The sequence below is a fragment of the Homo sapiens genome, chromosome 9, assembly GCF_000001405.40.
Source record: "Homo sapiens chromosome 9, GRCh38.p14 Primary Assembly".
NCBI classification, from domain to species: Eukaryota; Metazoa; Chordata; class Mammalia; order Primates; family Hominidae; genus Homo; species Homo sapiens.
The window spans coordinates 2,448,420-2,468,794 of record NC_000009.12 but is presented as its reverse complement, the minus strand read 5'-3'; the positions used below and the strand labels follow the sequence as shown (position 1 = coordinate 2,468,794).

Sequence of the window (20,375 nt, the reverse complement as noted above, 5' to 3'; positions counted from 1 at the left end):
CTAGAGCTGATAGTTTACTCATTTAAAAAAATGACTTAGTTTTCTCTGTACGTGTTACTGTCTTTGCTTCCCCTAACATCCAGCAATATTCAAGACACTGTTTTCATCACAGTATCAGTGTCGCATTTAATTTTTTTATGATAACTCTATAAGGTAGGTAACTATAATCTGTATTTCACAGATGGGAAGCATGAAGCACAGAGAAATTAATTGGCTCACATAAGATGGTAAGTGGCAGAGCCAGGACTCGAACCCAGGCAGTCTGACTCCTGCACTCATGTTCCCAAGCACAAGACATACAGTATCTCAATGTATAACTACCTATATTAGCAGCTGTACCACCTAATCCAATTAGTTGAATTTTTTTTTTAATGGAGCTCTTCCTCCATATGTCTCTGGACTCTTGTATCTGTGTTGCTTGTTTTCTAAACCTGTGTACGGTTATCATATTAAGACTTATTTTCATTATTGTCCAGGGAATTTCTTTCATCTTCCTCCTGTGTTGATTCCTTATTTTCTGGATATTGTTTTGTCTTTCTTGCATTAGGTGAAGCTCATCCTTTAGAAGACTTCTTGAGAAAATGTGCATGGGTCAAGATTTCTTAAATCTTAAATGTCAGAAAACATTTGTATTTTTCCTTGCTAGTACTGAGTATTGACTGCCGTTTTATTCTTGATCATGTGTATGTGACCTACTGTTTCCTTTCTTGAAAATTTTACTGTCTTCCTGGTGTACTGAAGTTTTATGACAGAGCTGGGTCTTTTTGCATTTATTGTGCTAGTTGCTGAATAGGACTTTTCAATCTGGGGACTCACGTTCTTCAGGTCCAAAAAATTTTCCCATAATCTTTCTCTTGACATATTTTTTTCTAGATCCTATTGGTAGGATGTTGGGCCTGCTGCACTGGACTTTTAGTTTCTTCTGATTTGCCTTCTACTTTTTCTTAATGTTTTGAGATATTTCCTTACCTTTATTTTCCAAATCTTACACACACATGCACACATAATTTTAGTTATCATATTTAAATTTCTAAGAACGTTTTATTTTTTAAACAATAAGCTTCATTTATTTCTCTTTTTTTCTTACTAGCATCCTAACTTTAAGGATAAATAGCTTATCTTATACCTCTGAGATCATTAAACATAGTTTGATTAAAGTTTTCTTCTTTAGTATATTGTCTCTGTTTCTTTTGAGTTTCCTTTCTTCCTTTCTTCTGATTTGATGTCTCTGTCTTTTCTGCTGGAGGCTTTCTTGAAATGTCAGATAATTCTTGGCTATCTGTTCATATTTTAAAAGTTAGATATTAAAAAATGCCAATAGGAAGTCCTATGCAGTAGGACTTGGCTTGTTGCCTATAGGGCACACTGTGGAATAATTGGTGGAATTGGCTTCTTAATTTTGCAATCCCTATAGATCAGTACCTATAGGTCTTCATTACTAGAAACAAGCTATAGAAAGTAAAAACAAAAAAATTAAACTGCCATGGACAACCTAGTGTTTTTGTGTAAGTCTGTCTGTGGGGTAAAAGTGGATAGCTTTTGGGTGTGTACACCTCCACATTGCCTTCCATGATAAATAATAACTTTCACGTGGAGTTTACAAACCACCAGAATCACTAAGAGGACCTGTTATTTCTATGTGCCTTCATTTTTTGCTCTGTTTTTCTTCGTTGTTGTTGTTGTTGTTTTCTTATCGGACTGCTCTGCTGTTTGACAAAGAATTTTACCACATGCCAAACACAACGTTTTGGGAAAGGTCCTTATATTCCTATGTGGAATATCTCTGCGCCTGGGCATGGGGTGAGCAGGCATTTGGTGACCTCTCTGCTTATGTTGCCTGGTACCCTGAGGCGCTGGCAGAATTACTGTGAGGCCATTCACCTTGTCTCAGCCTGAAATCTACTCTGACAGGTTTATTGGCTCTTAAACATGTATCGAAGCAGAACGTCTAAACTAATATAAGGTTTCACTCATTTGCACTCTCCAGGGAGAGAAAGAGAGATGAAAACTGTGAGGGGTGAAACTCCACAGAAATGTAACTCCACCCCAACCCCATCCTTGCATATTTACCAAGAAATGGAATTTATCATTTCTTTCCTATTTTAGGTCTTTTTTCTGTCAGAGATTTTCTCAGTCCATTGGTATGTGAAAAGTACATTGAGGAAAGGTAATAAGATCATTCAATCAATAACTGCTTTATTCCTTCATAACATATTTGTTTAATAAGGGAAAATATTGAATAAGATATATAAGAAAATTGCAATCTTCTCTAGCTTTTCTAGGAAGTGGGATGGAGAAAATGGTTTGAATTTAAATAAAAGTGAATTTAGAGCAATAAGGAAAACCATGTAATGAAGATCAATACTAACATTATCTATTTTTTATTGATGAGAAAAATATAGCTTGGAGAGGTTGAATGACTAGGCACAGCTTACTCAGATGGTAAGTGGTGAAGTCACAGCTCAGTCTCAGGTTTCAGTTCCAAAGGTCATGTATTTCTATTGCACCAGTCAGTAGTCTACAAACCTGACTGACATAGCTTTCTAGCTCCACCTCCTTAGCATACTGAAATTCTTCTATGTGCTGAGGCACACAGAACTGCTGGATAAAACAAAACTATTTTGCATACGTAGCTGAAACAGAGACAGACAGGTAAACAGAAAGAAAAGAAAAAAAAAAGAGGAAATGTCCATGTGCCACAGAGAAGGAAGAATCTTATAGTCAATGTGGTAAATGCATGAGCTGATACCAGAACAGTACAGAGGATATTAGACATGGCTATAGGATCTAACAGCTATGGGTTAGGCTTTAACACACATACACAATAAAGGACTTAACCTTGGGCCTGTGAAAGGTGAGGACTTAGAACTGAAGACCTGCTTCCCTCATACAAGGGGACTACAAAACACATTGTTCGTGTACTAGAAAGCAACTGGTAAAATTCTCACTGATTAGATATCTGGATGAGAAAAAGTTCCCCACAATAAATGGAAATTTAAAAACCTGTGCTGGCTGGGCATGGTGGCTCATGCCTGTAATCCCAGAGCTTTGAGAGGCCAGGATGGGGGAATCACTTGAGGCCAGGAATTCCAGACCAGCCTGGGCAGCATAGCAAGACCCAATCTTTACAAAATCTCAGAGCTCTGAAATGCCAAAGTGGGAGTATAGCTTGAGGCAAGGAATTCAAGACCAGCCTGGGCAACACAACAAGACCCCGTCCTTACAAAATATAAAAATAAAAAAATTAACTGGTCTTGGTGGTGCACCTATAGTCTCAGCTACTTGGAAGGCTGAGGCAGGAGGATTGCTTGAGCCCAGGAGTTCAAGGCTGTAGACTTCTATGACTGAGCCACTGCACTCCAGCCTGGTGTTAGAGCAAGACTCTGTCTCTGAAAACAAATCTGTGCTGTGCATGGGTATTGAATCCAAATTTTACACTATTTGCATAGTACAGGAATCTCAAATGAATATATTAATGTAGATGTCATAATTACTTCAAGCAAGTAAAACTACTGGAGTTTCCAGAAGAATCAAATGTAAAACTTGTCTAAAATGATACTACCACATCTTAAAGTACACAGGGGTGCCACAGGGAAAAAATACTCTAGCTGAAAATAAGTTTACAATGAAAAAGAACAAACCAAAAAAAAAAAAAAAAAAAAAGATCCAAATAAGGGAGAGTCAGCAGACACATGTGAGAGAAATAGCACCCCCAAGAACCTGAGATAATGTAACAACCTAAAACTGTCTAGAAATTAAATATATTTACACTCATTAAAGAGATAAAGAGAGGAATAAAAACTCTCATGAAAAAAATAGGACTAAAAAAGAAAGGAACATCTGAAAAACAACCAAATATAACAATTCAAAATGAAAAATCATGAATAAAGTTAAACATAGTGGCCAACTTTAAAAGCAGATCAGGCATGGTTGAAGAGAGAGTTGGTGATATGAAAGTTGTATCTGAGGAAATTACCCAAACTGCTGCAGAGAAAGATAAAGAGGGCTACAATCCGAAAGGGAAATCAAGAGATATGGAAGATTAAATTAAAAGTTACAACTTAGGTCTAATGGAAATTGCAAAAGCAGAAAATGGTGAAGGGGCAATATTTTCAGCGAAAATGGCTGGGAATTTTCCAGAACTTATAAAAGGCAGAAGCAGATTGAATTTTCCAGAAATTATAAAAAGCAGAAGCAGATTCTCAGATTGAAGAAGCACACTGAGTCCTGTGCATAATATATAAATCTACAGCTAGATGCATCATATGAAGAGCAGAACAGTGAAGATAAGGGAATTCTAGTTGAAGAGCAAGTGGAGAGAAAAGACAGACAATATATGAAGGGACAATTATTAGAATAACAGGGGACATCAGCCCAATAGCGACCAGAAGACAAGTCTGACCAAACATCAGAAACACCTGAAAAGCACATTAAAATACAATGTAAAAACTCTTTTATTCCTTACCACCATGTACATAAGCACACATATATGTGCGTATACTCACACACTGATCTCAAGGCTTTAATTAAATTTACTTCCCAGCCTCTCCCATTAAAAAAATGAAGGGATAATTTCTAAAGCATTTTTTTCCCAATAATTTCTAGAGTAACCATGCTACATAGTGCCAGAAGTTGATCCCAAAAGAACAAGGAAAAGGAGTTAGTACAAACATCTTTGACCTCACAGTTCCATTTCTGCTTCCGTCTTCACTAACATATGCATGATTAGGATTGAAAGACATGTTGTTCTGGCTAGTAACTCCAGAATCCTGTGTGTTTGTATGATGAGATGAATGAATGACCCCATGCTTGTGGAACCTTTGGCAAGATATGCTTCCTATCTTACTTGATATTTCATATCAAATACAAAAGAACACCTTGTCCTGCTAGTACCAGAATTTAGTCTACTTTGCCTTTATAGACATCTGTTCTCAGACTAATGGTTGTTTATATAATTGCTATAATAAAGGATAATTCTGCATTAAAGTAATACTGGGTACAATTAGTATATTCATAATAGCCATACTTTTTGAACTAGTAGCAATATTTCCAGGAATCTATCTTAAATACCCCAAACATACACATACAAAAACCCTTTGTATTCAAAGATGTTCACTCCAGAATTATATATGACGAGCAAAACTCTGGAAGTCTCTAGAAGGGTTGGAAGGCAGTAAGATCTTGTTATATTGTTCCAGACACATATAGTAATGTATTTGTTTCTTGGCTTGAACTCCTCGAACATATACTTTGCTTTTCCCCTTTGAATAGAGAATGCTTAGATAAACAATGGTATATCCACATGACAGAACTATGCCAGTATAAAAATTATGCTTTGAACAGGCAGTTCAAAAAAAGAAGAAATAAAAATGTGCCGTATACACATAAAGAAATATCTAACCTCATTAGTAATAAAGGACATAATTTCATTGTCACCCACCAGAATACCACATAGTTTTTCTTTAATGATTAGTAATAGCCAGTGTTGGTGAAGTTGTAGAGAAATGGGTATTACTTTGCTGCTGGTAGTATAAGTTGGTATGTACTTTCCAGATAAAAACTTGAGAGTATGTAGCCAAAGCCCTAAAAATTCATGTAAATTTTTTTTTGCTGAGCGATTCCATGGGAAGTCTGTGTGTGTGTGTATGTATGTGTGTGTATTTATATTTATATATTTTAAAATTAGGACAAGAATAGCATTTCTTATATTATGAAAAATTGGGATATCTTAAGTGTCCAAAAATAGGAATTATTTAAATAAAATGTGATGCTATACAATGGGATACAGTTAGAAAAGATGTCCATAATACATAGGCAATAATAAAAATTACAAAATTAAATATAAAAAACAATAATTTTGTTAAATTGTTGACAAGAACACATAAAATGTCAAGAAAGAAATGTAGTAAGAATTGATAATGATTATCTCTGAGTAGTAGAGACAATGGTGGTTTTTATTTTCTTTGCTTTTTGCATAGCATTTTCTTTTACATTTTGCAATGAAATTGTAATATTTTAATAAAAATAAAATATAAACTTAGGTCATAACAAATTTTTAATAAGATGAGATTATGCCAATTATGGCAAAAGATAAATGTTGCTTTACAATTACAACTATGTAGGAATGTATACATTAAAATAAGGAAAGAAAGAAAAAAAGGGAGGAAGAAAGAAAAGGAATAAAGGATGAAAGGCAGGCAGGCAAGAAGACATCTCTTCCAACTTGTTTTCTTTGGCCAGTAGAATTTGGGGCAAATATTTTCAACTCTCATGAACTTTTATACTTTCTAATATATTACCAATTTTATACTTATAAAAACTAGAAATAATTTTATTTTTTAAATGTAAAATTGAACTTAATAAAGTAGCATATTTCTGTCATATTTTATTTTACCCACTTCTCTGCTGTATCAAATTTCCATTCTTAGTCCTAACATCAACTTTCTGGACTGCAACCAAGCCACCACTTTAGGAAAATTTACATAAAATATTCCTACTGAATTTATTATTTCAATCAGTGACAACGAGACTTTCTAGAATCCTCTTGTGACTCCAGCAGGGAGCTGGGCAGGATTAGACCTTGCTCATCTCCACTCAGCATTCCATCTCGGTCTCCAGAGGGGACGGAAAGCTGCTATGAGATCTTGGCACCACTTTGCAGACTCATGTTGTAGTGAATTTGCTTTTTGGCTTGAACTCCCCACACATATGCTTTCCCTTTCCGCTTTCAAGCAGAGGGCTCCTTGCCTGCACCAGTCTGGATGTCAGCAGGTGGCCTGCTGGCCCCAAAAGCTTTCTGCATGAATTACTGTGTGTGGTTTCTGCACATTGAAACTTGGCACCCACACATACACACACCTCCCTTGCTCCTTTCCCCTCTCCCCGCAACACTCTGTATTCCATTAGAAGCCATCCAGATTCTTGGCTTGGATATTGGGCCAAAGCAAGACTTTCCTCAAAGAATCACCTAGTTTCTATTTGCTAAGATACCATACCTCATTCCTGTTTCCAGACAAAGCATGCATTCTCGTCAGTTTCTAGCTTGTAGGCTCTCCTTCTCCAGTCCAGACTCCATATAACCACCAGAAAGAGTGGATCTGGTCACTCCATGTCTCTTGAATTTTCTGTAGCTCCCGTCACATTCAGGATTATGTATGTATTTCCTAGACGGTGAACAAGGTTCTTCATGATAGGATTCCAACTTATCTACTCAGCCCTCATCTTTACCACATATTTCCCACCTCTTTCTATGGCATAACAGGAGGTTTCTGGACTTGACCTGCTTTCTCACCCATCTCTGCTTTTCTACATGCTGTTCCTTCTGCCCTTGCACTTTGTGCCCTGGCCAATGCCTCCTTATCCTTCAGAAGTCCATTTGAGTGTCATTTCCACTGGAAAGCCTCGCCTGACTCCACCACCTTCCACTGTACCCCCATCCAGCCCAAGATACTCTTGTGCATAGCTCCTATGAACATGGAATAGTATTTGTCAGTCATCTCTGTCCTTCCCTGGATCCTAAGGTCCTTGCAAGAAGAGACTGGGTCTTTTTGTGGTTTTATTCTAGCATCTAGCCTAGCTCAGTAAATAGCAAGCACTCAAAACTCTATGCAGCAATTCTGCTCGTGGGTATAATCCTAATATTTGCAAGATATGTTCAAGAATGTTTACACAAGCATTACTTGAGTTAATTCCAAACAGAATATAATCTAAATGTCTACTACCTGTAGAATGGATAGTAAATCATGTCACTTTAAATAAATCCTATACAACAATGAGATTGAATGAATTACAACTACATGCAACAACATGAATGAATCTCACAAACATAACGTTGAGTGAAAGAAGCCAGACATAAAAGAGTCAGTGATGTATAATTCCATTCATATAAGCTCAAAAGCAGGCAAAAGTCGCATCCATGGTATTAGAAATCATGAGAGTAGTTACCTTGAAGGTATAGAGTAACTGATAGGGGGCAACTGGGACCCCAGTAATGTTCTATTTCTTGATTTGGGTGCTGGATACATGGACATCATTACACTGTAAAAATTCATCAAGTTGTATGTTTATGATTTATGCATGTGTCTGTATTTTATACTTCCGTAAAATTTTAATTGAGGAAAGTTCCCTTTGTGAAACATATTTCTCTGTGGCGTTTAGGATAGTGATGGAAATGGAGAGTGTGAGTTTGACTCAAATCCGTCGCCAGCTTGATTGATGCTCTTTTCCCCACTCAGAATGGTGCTGGATGGTAGAAAAGAAAAGTAAAAGAAAAACCATCTTCCTAGACAGAGTTTAGCATTTGCTTTAAGAAAGGTGATGCTCAATTGTGTCAGCAGGTGTTCTTTGGATAGTTTGATTTCTCAACTTGAATTTCAGAAAGTGCAAATAATTTGGAATAATTCAGGGTATAAATAATCAAGTTAGAATTGGAATTTTCCTCTTTTCTTGTTATCTCCATCCGTCAGCTCTTAAGGCTTCTGTCTTCAATGGGTATAAGCTTATTGGCTTGCACACATCAATCAAATCTGTCACAGACCTTATTGATTCACATATCACCGTTGCAGTTTAAAATTGGTTTTCCTCTTCTTGCTACAAGAATTGTGCTTAATTATCCAAATTAACGTCTTTGAGCTGGTGAAGTTTTTCTCCTCCAAATTTTAAGAGGTCTATAAATATCAGACTATGGGATATTTAAAAAATATACATTTTCTCTCTTTAAACAAACAGATAAATGTGGGTAAGAAGCCTGGAACCCTTGTCTCTGAGATAGCTTCAGCCATCTTGGCAGCTGCCTTCTGCAGCCTGCACATTGGAGCCAGTCCAGCCTTCACTGCCACAACTTGCCGGATTTCTCTCTCACATTCTGTAATAAAGGACTTTCAGTGTCTGCACAGATGGGAATTCTGCTGCCACCTTCTCATTTCACATTTCCTGCACTTTCTTTCCAAAGCACTCGCCTGCCTGAAATAGAATCATAGTTTTTTTCAGTCTGCGTGTAGGAATTTAGTGGGAGAATGGACAGGGTGTCTGTAGCTCCCTATAATTACCACACCATGAAGTAATTTTCCTAATGACTAAAAGGTACTTAAAGGATGCAGAAGGATGCTCAGAGGTTTTTCAGAAAATAGCACCCAATTTTCTTTCTGGGGATGGTTTGGGAGGGCCCATGAAGAGGCAGGATGTCATTGCTGATGGTGTGAGCCTTTAGGGAAGAGGAGGCAGGAGCCTTTGCCTGGCTTGCCACCTACTAGCCCCCTTCATGAATCCCCTGCCTTCGTGAGGTCTCTTCCAAGGGGATATTCCCCCTCCTCCACCTTTTTAAATTGAGATCCCACAAGGATCAATGTCCACGTTTCTCTCTGCCTAGTTGAATTCTCTCCATCCTTCAAGACTAACTCAAATCCTACTACTTCTGGGAAGCCTTCCTGAATGGCTTGAGCTGGAAGTAATTTCCCCTATGTCTGAACACAGAGCCCCTAATGATTGCATATTCTGGTGTTGCCTGCACACAAAGATAATTTACAGTAATAAAAACTAATGAAATAAATGACATTAACTGAGTACTTATGTGCCAGGCACTATATTTGCACTTTACATGTATGAAGTCAGAATTCTTACAGTGACTCCATGGGGTAGGTTATATTATTTTTCCCATTTTACAGATGAGGATCCTGAGACACATAGTAATATCATACCTCCCTAATCAGATCAGAAGCTCCACTTACCTCGTTGACTTATTGATTTGTCTCCTTCATGGCACAAAGCTCAGGGCCTTGCAATCAGTAATTGCTTGGCTAATATTTGTCTATTTATTAATGTGCTTAATGGAACTTGAGACCATGAAAGTAGAATTTGAAAAACATTTCTGATAGTCAGATATGCTTCTTTTCATCTTCTGTCAATAGGGGAGGACTGTGAAATGAAATGGGTGGGGTTGATAAAAAATCATCATATTAAAAACAAATCCTTAGTTAGTAGGCACTGTATGCCAGATGCTGTGGTAAGTGATATATGTTCATTACATTTCTTAAGCTCAGCTTTTCCCCCACAAAAGGATCAGAGAGAGGTTGCAAAATGCTTGCAATAGAATCAAATAAATAGATGAAGGCATTGTAGCAAAGGGAATATAACTGGTTTAAGTCAGAAAAATCCTGGGTTTAGTTATTACCCCAAAATGAATGTTCTAAGGATCCTCTGTTGGTAGGGAGACACAAATTTGGCTCTAAGATTCCTAGTGTTTGTGGCAAAAACAGATACACAATCAACTACAGCACCTACACACTAAGATAAAGACGAACCAGCTATTTGAAGATAGCACTCACAAATGTTGAATCAAACCATTTCTTCTTACAATTCTCAACATAGGCCATTCTCATCTTGTGGAAGAGTAGAATGGTAAAATCCATTCTAGGAAGAGGCAGACTATTGGGTTTAAGTATGCAGTTGAGTTTGGCTTAACTTACGCTATCTAAGAGCTGGATGGACTGTGCATGTTTCAGAAAAAAATTCTCTATAAATGTTATTTCTCATAACCACTGTATCATACTGTCCATGCCAGACAATCATCCTTCCCCTTTCAACTAAAACCTGCATAGGTGTTTTGGTATAACTCTTACTAACATCCTATAAAACTAGCATGCCAGGAATAGTCTTTGGAAAACCTAGTCCTGTAGGCAATATGGAAATTTAAAAACTGACTTTTCCATGGAGAAAATGAAATCCAAACTCCTTTGGGTATGGTCACAAAAGCACCATAAATCATATATGGTGCTTTTCACAACCTGACCTCAACCTGCTTTCTAGACCGAATTTATTGTCCTCCTTTTAGCACCTTCATGCTTCCTTGAAACCAAACTATATAGAATCTCATGAAAATACTCAGTGCTTTTACTCATTGAAACGTCATAGTTGCATCCTAGAAATCCCTCTTCTCTTTCCTATCTCCCCTTGTTTCTCTACCTAGCGGATCTTGAAGGGTATCACCTTTCCTGCAAACCCTGATTCCACCTAACAATCTTCCCCTTTACTAGATTCCTATAGCACCTTGCTTATATCATATTTTATTATCCTCCTTTGTTAGCATCTCCGATTTTTCTGCCAAACTCTGAGCTCCTCCGGGGTAGAATGTGTCTTATTTACCTTTGTATCCCAGCACCGGGGACATAGTCTGACCTGGATTCATTTCACCAAGTATTTATTGAGTGCTTCCTGCTCTCACAAAGCAAGTTGGGACAATTCTAATTCTAAGATGCTACATAAAAAAAGTGTTACTCCACAGGTGACCCACATATGTTTCCATTATTCTCTGAAGCCATTTGGTGCTATGCAGATTGATTATTCAATATTATTTGGTATAGAAAAGGATAATCTAGTAAACGGGTTGAACTACAAACTGAGTGCACTAAACTCTTTTTTCCCTAACTCAATATTTTCCGGATTTGAAAAGCTCCAAAGGAAGCTGCACCTGTATGTTGCCGTTTATTCCAAGTGTTTTCTCTTTTTGTGTAATATCTGTCATGCTAAAGAACTTTGCTTGTATTTGGCATGTGGATGAATCACTTCATCCACCAATAAAATGTACAGCCCTTACAAGTAAAACACAGCAACTATCCCAGGAGACCTTGACAGTATTACAGCAGAGCTAGGAGGTGGGTCAGAAAGAAAAAAAAAAAATGACTTCTTAATGACCTGACATGAATAGGACATTTAAGAACTAAATTACCAAATTTTACTGTCATTGAAAGGACCTATTTGAGTAAAGGTCACAGTAAGTATTGTGCAAATCTAATCTTATTTCTGGACTTCAAAAATCTTTTAATCATTCATCCATCACAAAAAGTAATATTATAGACATTCAGAGCCACATAAGCACTGCACAAATATGAGATATTTTCATAAATGGAATTTCAAAAATGTGTTGAGCAATGGAAACATTTTGGATATAGAAATTGGAAACAGTATTTGAAAAGTTACTTTACATCAGTTTGCTTATGGTTAATATTAACCAGTCCAACAAGGTTAATGCCATGATGGGAGGGGGACAAATCTTGAGGAAGGAATATTATCATCTTGCAAAGTATCTGCCTCAAGAGATACCTCTGTAATATTTTTAGGCAAAGAATAATGAACTAATTCAGGACATAATGTACCCAAAACCAAAAGACCTCTCTGACAGCACTTAAAGAGACCCTTTATTACTATAGGCAGAAGGCCTATTGGCTTAAAAATTAGTCCCAGGACCTAACTGAGAGAGAGTCAAATTGTAGAGAAGGCTCAATTTGAAGTCTTTAGGTTTTTCCAGATATTAGATCATATTATCTACAAACAAAGATAATTTGACTTCTTCCTTTCTAATTTACATGCCCTTTATTTCTTTCTCTTGTCCGTTTGCTCTAGCTAGGTCTTCCAGTACTATGTTGAATAACAGTGGTAACAGTAGGCATTCTTGCCATGTTTCAGATTTTAGAAGAAAGGCTTTCTGTTTTTCCCCATTCAGTATGACACTAGCTGTGGGTTTATCATATATGGCTTTTATTATGTTGAAGTATGTTCCTTCTGTACCCAGTTTTTATGTTTTTTTTATCATGAGGGATGTTGAATTTTATCAAGTACTTTTTCAGCATCAGTTGAAATTATCCTATGGTTTGTGATCTCCATTCTGTTGATATAAAATATATTACATCGATTGATTTATGTAGGTTAAACCATCCTTGGATCCCTGGGATAAATCATGCTTGGTCATGATGAATGATCTTTTCAATGTGTTGTTGAATTCAGTTTGCTAGTATTGTGTTGAAGATTTTTGCATAAATATTCATCAGGGATATTGGCTTGTAGTTTTCTTTTTTTGATGTGTCTTTGTCTGGTTTTGGTATCCTGGTAATACTGGCCTCATAGAATTACTTTGAAGTCATTCCTTCCTCCTCTATTTTTTGGAATAGTTTAAACAGGATTGGCATTAGTTCTTTAAATGTTCAGCAGAATTCAGCAGTGAAGCCATCGGGTCCTGGCCTGTTTTTACTGGGAGACTTTTTATTATGGCTTTGAACTCATTACATGTTATTGGTCTGTTCAGGTTTTGGATTTCTTCATGGTTCAGTCTTGGTTGTATGTGTCTAGGAATTTATCCATTTCTTCTAGATTTTCAAATTTATTGACTTACAGTTCCTTGTAGAAGCCACAAATGATTCTTTGAATTTCTGTGGTATTGGTTGTAAAGCCTTCTTTTTCATCTCTGATTTTACATATTTGGATCCTCTCTCTTTTTTTCTTAGTCTAGCTAATGTTTGTCAATTTTGCTTATCTTTTCAAAAAATGAAGTTTTTATTTCATTGATATTTTGGAGAAGCCAGCCATTTGAAGAGTAGCAGGAAAAGTGTTTCAGGCAGAGGAAAAACAACACAGAATCATGGCAAGGGAAGAGTTTGGCATGCTGAGGAACTACATAATGTAACTAGAGAAGCATGAGCAAGGAGGAGTGTCAGAATGATGCTAAGTGAATTTTATGATTGCCCCTATATAATATGTGAGAAAACATAGAACCATGGGAAGGGTAGTGGGGGTGAAGGGGTTAGCAGAAGTGGAGATGGTTAATGTGTACAAAAATTAGAATGAATAAGAACTAGTATTTGAAAGCACAACAAGATTACTATAGTCAATAATAATTTAACTGTACATTTTAAAATAACTGAAAGGGTATAATTATATTGTTTGCAGCACAAAGGATAGATGCTTGAGGTGATGGATACCTTATTTACCCTGATGTGATTATTATGTATTGCATTGCCTCTATCAAAATATCTCATGTACCCCACAAATATATACACCTACTGTATACCGACAAAAATTAAAAGCCAACAAAACAAAGTGAAAAAATTGGCTGGTTTCTCATTCTTCAGCTCTCACCTTATATGTGACTTCACTTTAGTCCTAGGGAGTTCTTCCTTCACTGTTCTATCTAAAGTAGATCACCTCATAAGCTTTGTCATCCCTGCACACTCTTTCCCTCATAGCATGTGTAACAATCTAATTGTCGCATCTGTGTGTATAAAATCTGTTGTCTGTACATACAGCTAGAATGAGACCTTATTAAAATGCAGTGCTAGTCCAGGGCCTGACACAAAACAGACTCTTAATAAATATTTGGTAATTAAACATCTGAATTTACTTCATTATGGAATTGTAGACCATTATTCTAAGTGAAGTAACTCAGGACTAGAAAACCAAACATCGTGTGTTCCTAGTCATAAGTGGGAGCTAAACTATGAGGACTCAAAGGCATAAGAATGATACAATGGACTTTGGGGACTTGGGGTGAAGGGTGGGAGGGGGGCGAGGGATAAAAGACCACCCACTGGGTGCAGTGTACACTGCTTGGGTGATGGGTGCACCAAAATTTCAGAAATCACCGTTAAAGAACTTACTCAAGGAACCAAACACCACCTATTCCCCAAAAACCTGTTGAAATAAAAAAACAAACAAACAGGATATATAATAAAAAGAATTTACATCATTGAGATTGAGTGTATAAATGATAATATAAAAACACTTTAATTGTATTATCTGCACCAAACTCTAGATACCAATAATATTTCATAATGTTCAAAAGTGTTCCTTATTAGAACAATGATTTGATGCTATACCAAAATAGCAGTATGTCTGAAAACTTTATGGATTTTTAATGTATAATGATGCTTCAAATGCTCACATCCATAATTCTTGCAATATTTTCTTGAAATATGTCAATTTCTTTATCTTTTATAGATAAATCATGCAAAATTTGCGTTGTGAAAGAATGACCCATTTTGGAGAGCACTAAGTGTGTAAATGATTATACATACAGTGAGGCGTAACCTTCCCTTGTGCCCACCAGCCAAATTGTTCAAATTCCTTTGACGCTGGAGTTAAGTAGGAAATGCAGTGTAGGACTGAAATAAATGCACTTCTGAAATGCCAATCACGGAAGTGCCCATCAGCTTTGAACCCTGCCTTGATTGAACATTGGATGCGCGTGAGAATGAGCTACTTGCCACTGTCATATGATTTTGTTCCATAATCAGAAAAATGTGAGGGCCAAAGTTCAGGTGCACATTAAACCTACTGCAGGAAGTAGATCATGACCTTTCAAAGCCACGAACAATCACTTGAAGTCCATTTCCTCTTCAGCCACCTGGAACATCAAATCAAGAAGCATCTTTGAAAGGCTCAGATTTTGAATTGCAAAGTGATCCCCAAAACATTAGCTATTACACATAGAGCTGGGCAAGGGGAAATAAACCAAGCAGAGGATTTTTAAAAGAGAAATTTGGCTTACATCTTTTATACATGAGGTAAAGGAAACTTATGTTGAAAATCTTTTGCAGAAACCAAATCTTTTGTGACTACAATTCTTTCACCGGTGTATTAATGATGTGTCCTGCAGTTATCACTGGAAATACATAAAATGGGAATGCTGGTCTCTAGAGCTCATGAAATTGCTAGGACTGATTCCAAGTCCTTCTCTATGTAACAGTGTGCTGGCTTTCACAGGCACAGGGCCTGCCTCTAGTACTTATTTAATAACTTTCCCATACTACATTCCCCTAGATGATTTCTAGAAGAATACAAGAGGCAGGACATAATTCAAGGGCTCAATAATTGGTTAGAGGCCTTGGAGTTTCATCAGTTTCTAATTCACACAGGAAAGAACAATATTGGCTATTATATTTTGAGTACCTGCAATGTGCTAGTTTCTATTGCATGTATTATCTCATTCAGCCCTCTCTATAGCACCCTATTTTTTTTTTTTTTTTTTTTTTTTTTAGTGGATGACAAGAACTGAGACAAATCACCAATGGGCACAAACTAGTAAGTGGCAGAGCATGGATGAAAATCCATGTCAAACAGCCTCCAAGGCTCATGCTCTTTCCGCTATGCTATATGCTTTTTGATTGAAGTCTATTAAATGTCAATCTACTCTTCCAATAAATGTTAAGGTCAATGCTCACTAGGAGGGAAGGTTGGGCCATTGACCTCCAAAGAATGCTCCCTATTTTTGAATCCAAATTTAGCTTCTTTGATAGTTTCCCTTCAGGGGCTCACAGCAGTGCCTGCTGACATTTCCAGCCAAGATAGTAGCATCTTTAGCCCTGCTGGAACTTCTTCCATTACTACTGATGGTCAGGAGCTAAAGTTGGTTCCCACTGGAGGCTATACCCTGGAGCTTTCTACAGGAGGAACTCTCCTTAGTAGTCATTGCTCTCAGAAGTGGTGGCTTTCATCTAAATTACCTTCCTGACACCCCTTGCCTTCTCTCGTATCAGTGCAACCCCTTGGCAGCAAACACTTTTTCTGAGGCAAATCATCAGCATAGTCCATTATGGACTACAGTCTCTAGTAGCTTTGGCTACCTAATAGGTGACTATTAATAAAGCCACATAGTTCTTTGGAGGAAATTACTGTAATTCGTATGAAAATTTCCACTCAGTGTGATAATTTTGTCTGCCCCCTCAGCCTTGTTTTAATTGCTTGAAGCCAGGAACTACTCAACCTTCTCTTAATCTCCAAGGTGGATTATTCCCAAGGAGACAGAAAAAGAAAACTACTTTCTCTCTTCTGGAAGTATTTGGATTCGGATTATATAAAGATGAGATGATGCAAACTCTCAGACTCTCCCTTCATGGGGCACAGGAGCATCTAAACAAATCAAGATTCACGTAGAATCCAAGAAATTCCTTAGTAATTCTAAATAGTTACATGAGGGAGCTGTATTGGAAGCAAATTCTCCAGTCGTCAGTTAATCATTATCCACTACCTACCACTCCTCAGATAACACTGCATGGAGCAGAAACAAACCTTCCCCACTGTACCCCATCAAAACTGAAGACTTCCAACAAAAAGGGGAAAAAAAGATTGCTATAATCTTAAGCCAATGATTTAACAGAAAATACTTCAACTTTTAAGGGCCTCACTTCATCTTAATCCATCTGCACTACTCATCTGTTTTTAAACTATTATATCTTAGAAATTATTTTTGATGTGTTTGGAGAATATATTAACAGTTCAATAATTAGCTTCTTGGAGATAGGTATCTTGTATTACATTTGTTGAATTTCTAGACCGAGGGCGCTCTATAAATATTTCTTAGTTAATTAAACCAGAGGCTGTGTGTTCTATAAAATAACATAATTTTTTACTATGCTAATCCTGCAAACATAAGATATGGTACAGTGCAGACATACTAAAACCTGGGTATATAAGCACACTGAAACTTAAGATACTGAAGTATTTGCTTTATATAATCACCAATTCTTCCATCCCCTAAAGTGCTTATTTAATGCTCCACTGAAATTTGATATTCAAATCTTGAAATTTATTTAAAAAGTCAAACCACATTAGAGTCCCATCACTCAATGCAGCTTTCTGATTAATGAGTTACAGCACACAAATGAAGCAAGTTTGCAGTTAATGAACTACAAATAAATCTATCTGTAAATAATAATTACTGGTAATGACCAAATTAGTTAGACTTCAGGTTTGTTCTCTTTGCATTTACATTAATTTGTTTATTTTACCCTAATCAGTTAAATTTCTTCTACAGATAATTGGAGAGATACAACTTCTGGAATGACAGTGTGAGGAGCTCAAAGCTGCTCCCATACAAAACAGCTTTAACTGGTGAAAATTATTTTTAAAAACTAGCACCTATTTAAAGTCTCTGTAAATTTCCTAAGGGCATACAGGAAATGAAGACATATTTATTCAAGAAAATCTATATGGTCAACTAATATTTTTCTAGTGCGCCAAAAACACACAATGTAAGGAAAGTTTCTTCAATAAATGGTGTTGGGCAGACTGGATATCCAGATGCAAAAAAAAAAAAAAATCAAACCCTTTTCTTACACTATATATATAAATTAAAATAGATCAAAGACTTAAATGTAATATCTTAAGCCATAAAACTCCTAGAAAAAAAAAAAAAAACAGGGAGAAGCACCTTGACATTGCCATGGCAATAGTTTTTTGGATAGCACACCAAAAGCACAGACAACAAAGCAAAAATAAACAAGTGGGACTACATAAAACTAAAAAGTTCTGCACAGCAAAGGAAACAACCAGCAAAATGACAAGAAAGTCTCCAAAATGGGAGAAAATATTTGCAAAACATATTGTTGCAGGACTTTTCCTTAGTTCAGCTAAAGATAGGTGTATTAGTCAGGGTTCTCTGGAGGGACAGAACTAATAGGAGATAGATAGATACAGATATGTGTGTGTGTGTGTGTGTATGTATATGTATATATATATACACATATATACACATATATACATATATACATATATATACATACATATATACACATATATATACATATATATACATATATACACATATATATTCACATATATGTATATATGTGAATATATATGTGTATATATGTATATATATGTATATATGTGTATATATGTATGTGTATATATATGTATATATATATGAAGGGGAGTTTAATAAGTATTAACTCATATGATCACAAGGTCCCACAATAGGCCATCTGTAAGCTGAGGAGCAAGAAGAGCCAGTCTGAGTCCCAAAACTGAAGGACTTAGAGTTTGATGTTCCAGGCCAGGAAGCATCCAGCATGGGAAAAAGATGTAGGCTGGGAAACTAGGCCAGTCTAGTCTTTTCACATTTTTCTGCCTGCTTTATAGTCTAGCTATGCTGGCAGCTGATTAGACGGTGCCCACCGGGAGTAAGGGTGGGTCTGCCTTTCCCAGCCCACTGACTCAAATGTTAATCTCCTTTGGCAACACCCTCACAGACACACCCAGGATTAATACTTTGCATCATTTAATCCAGTCAAGTTGACACTCAGTATTAACCATCACAATGGGGTTCTTGTCCATCCCACAAAAATTTAGGCCTGCAGAAGGTTACACATGAGGGGGTTCTGTTTTCTGCATATCCCCTTGGCCTAATAAGCCAATTGTCCATTGACAGATAAATTAATTTTTAAAAATGTGGTGTGTGTATGTGTATGTATACATACAATGAAACATTAGGCAACCATAAAAAATAAGGAAGTCCTGCCATCTGTGAGACAACATGGATGAACCTGGAGGACACTATGCTAAGTGAAATAAGCTAAACACAGAAATAAAAGTACTGTATAATCTCACTTATATGTGAAATCTAAAAAATTAAACTCAGAGAAACAGAGAGTAGAATAGTGTTGCCAGAGGCTGGGGGTGAGGAAATGGAGATATTTGATGAAAGGGTATAAACTCTCAGTTAAAAGATGAATGAGGTCTGGGGATCTAGTGCACAGCCTAAGTGGTGATGGATGTGTTGATTAATTTCATTGTGACAATTATTACACAGTGTACATGTGTATCAAATAATCACATTGCACACCTTGAATACATATAATCTTTAGTTCTCAATTAAGTACTTTGAAATTTAAAAAAAAAGAAAATAATAAAATCTACTAAATCTTGGTAGTAACAGTGAGATCCTGTGTCACGTATGCCACTATCCACTCCCTCCTTTACCCTTACCCCTAAAGCTCAGCATGATAGACGCCCCACTCCAAAGGGGCTCCCTTTCCTCTAAGCTACCAGTCAAGTGGTAAGGTATTCTCCTGGGATAAAGAGATTGCCAACATTTTTTATCCTCTCCTAGCTGCATGTTACGAAGGCTAGTTTCCAGGCAAGTGTGGCCAAGACATCAGGAACTTCATTCACCTACCCAGCTCCAATTTCACTGGTTCTACTCTAGGTACAGAAGGGTAATAAAACTTGGGCCAAATTATCTTAACCCCAATCTTTTCATAAGGAGAATATTCCATACTGGAAGAGGCAAGCTGAGAAGACCAGAGGCTACTGCCCCAGCTCAGTGCTCAGTTCATGAAACATGGTATTCCAAGAGAAGTGGGTGATTTTGCCTGCTGTCATCTCCAGAGCAGTGGTTCAGAGATTTTGCCAGATGAAGAGGCAAGTCAAAATAACATAAGATGCAGAAACTTCCCCCGAAGAAATTGAATTTATTTGGAACAAAGTGCGGGTAAGTTCAATCCTAAAGGAACTCTCAAGGACCATGGAGATTTTGGTAATAAGCAATTAAGGAGAGGCTGGTAGCTCCATGAGAGCAACAAGCAAAACTATAAGCCAGCTGTATTACCAGACAAAGCAGGTGAAGAGATAACTCTAAGATGAGTCCTTCTGTGGTCAGAGAAACCCTCAAAGCCTGGCCCTGCCAAGACACCCAAATTTAATTGGATCAGAGTGTGAAGCAATTTATGCACCAGCACATTATTTTTAAAAAATGGAGTCATCAGCCAGCAATTAATGAAACTTAACAGCTGGATGTGGTGCTACAGAGACATACAGTTTAGGAGACAGAT

General features: G+C 36.9%; 1 long non-coding RNA gene across 8 annotated transcripts in view; it reads left to right on the top strand.

Annotated features, from left to right (window-relative positions):
- Positions 1-20,375, top strand: part of LOC101930053 (uncharacterized) — a 121,382-nt gene that overhangs the window by 37,742 nt on the left and 63,265 nt on the right. For 3 of the 8 annotated variants that reach the window (XR_001746603.2, XR_001746602.3, XR_929428.2), the window contains exon 3: positions 15,804-15,846. The exons of 4 other annotated variants lie outside the window; for them this stretch is intronic. This is a non-coding gene — a long non-coding RNA (uncharacterized LOC101930053). Of the gene's footprint in view, positions 1-15,803; positions 15,847-19,151; positions 20,036-20,375 lie in introns of those variants that run through there. One more of the 8 variants, XR_001746604.2, reaches the window with a different exon arrangement.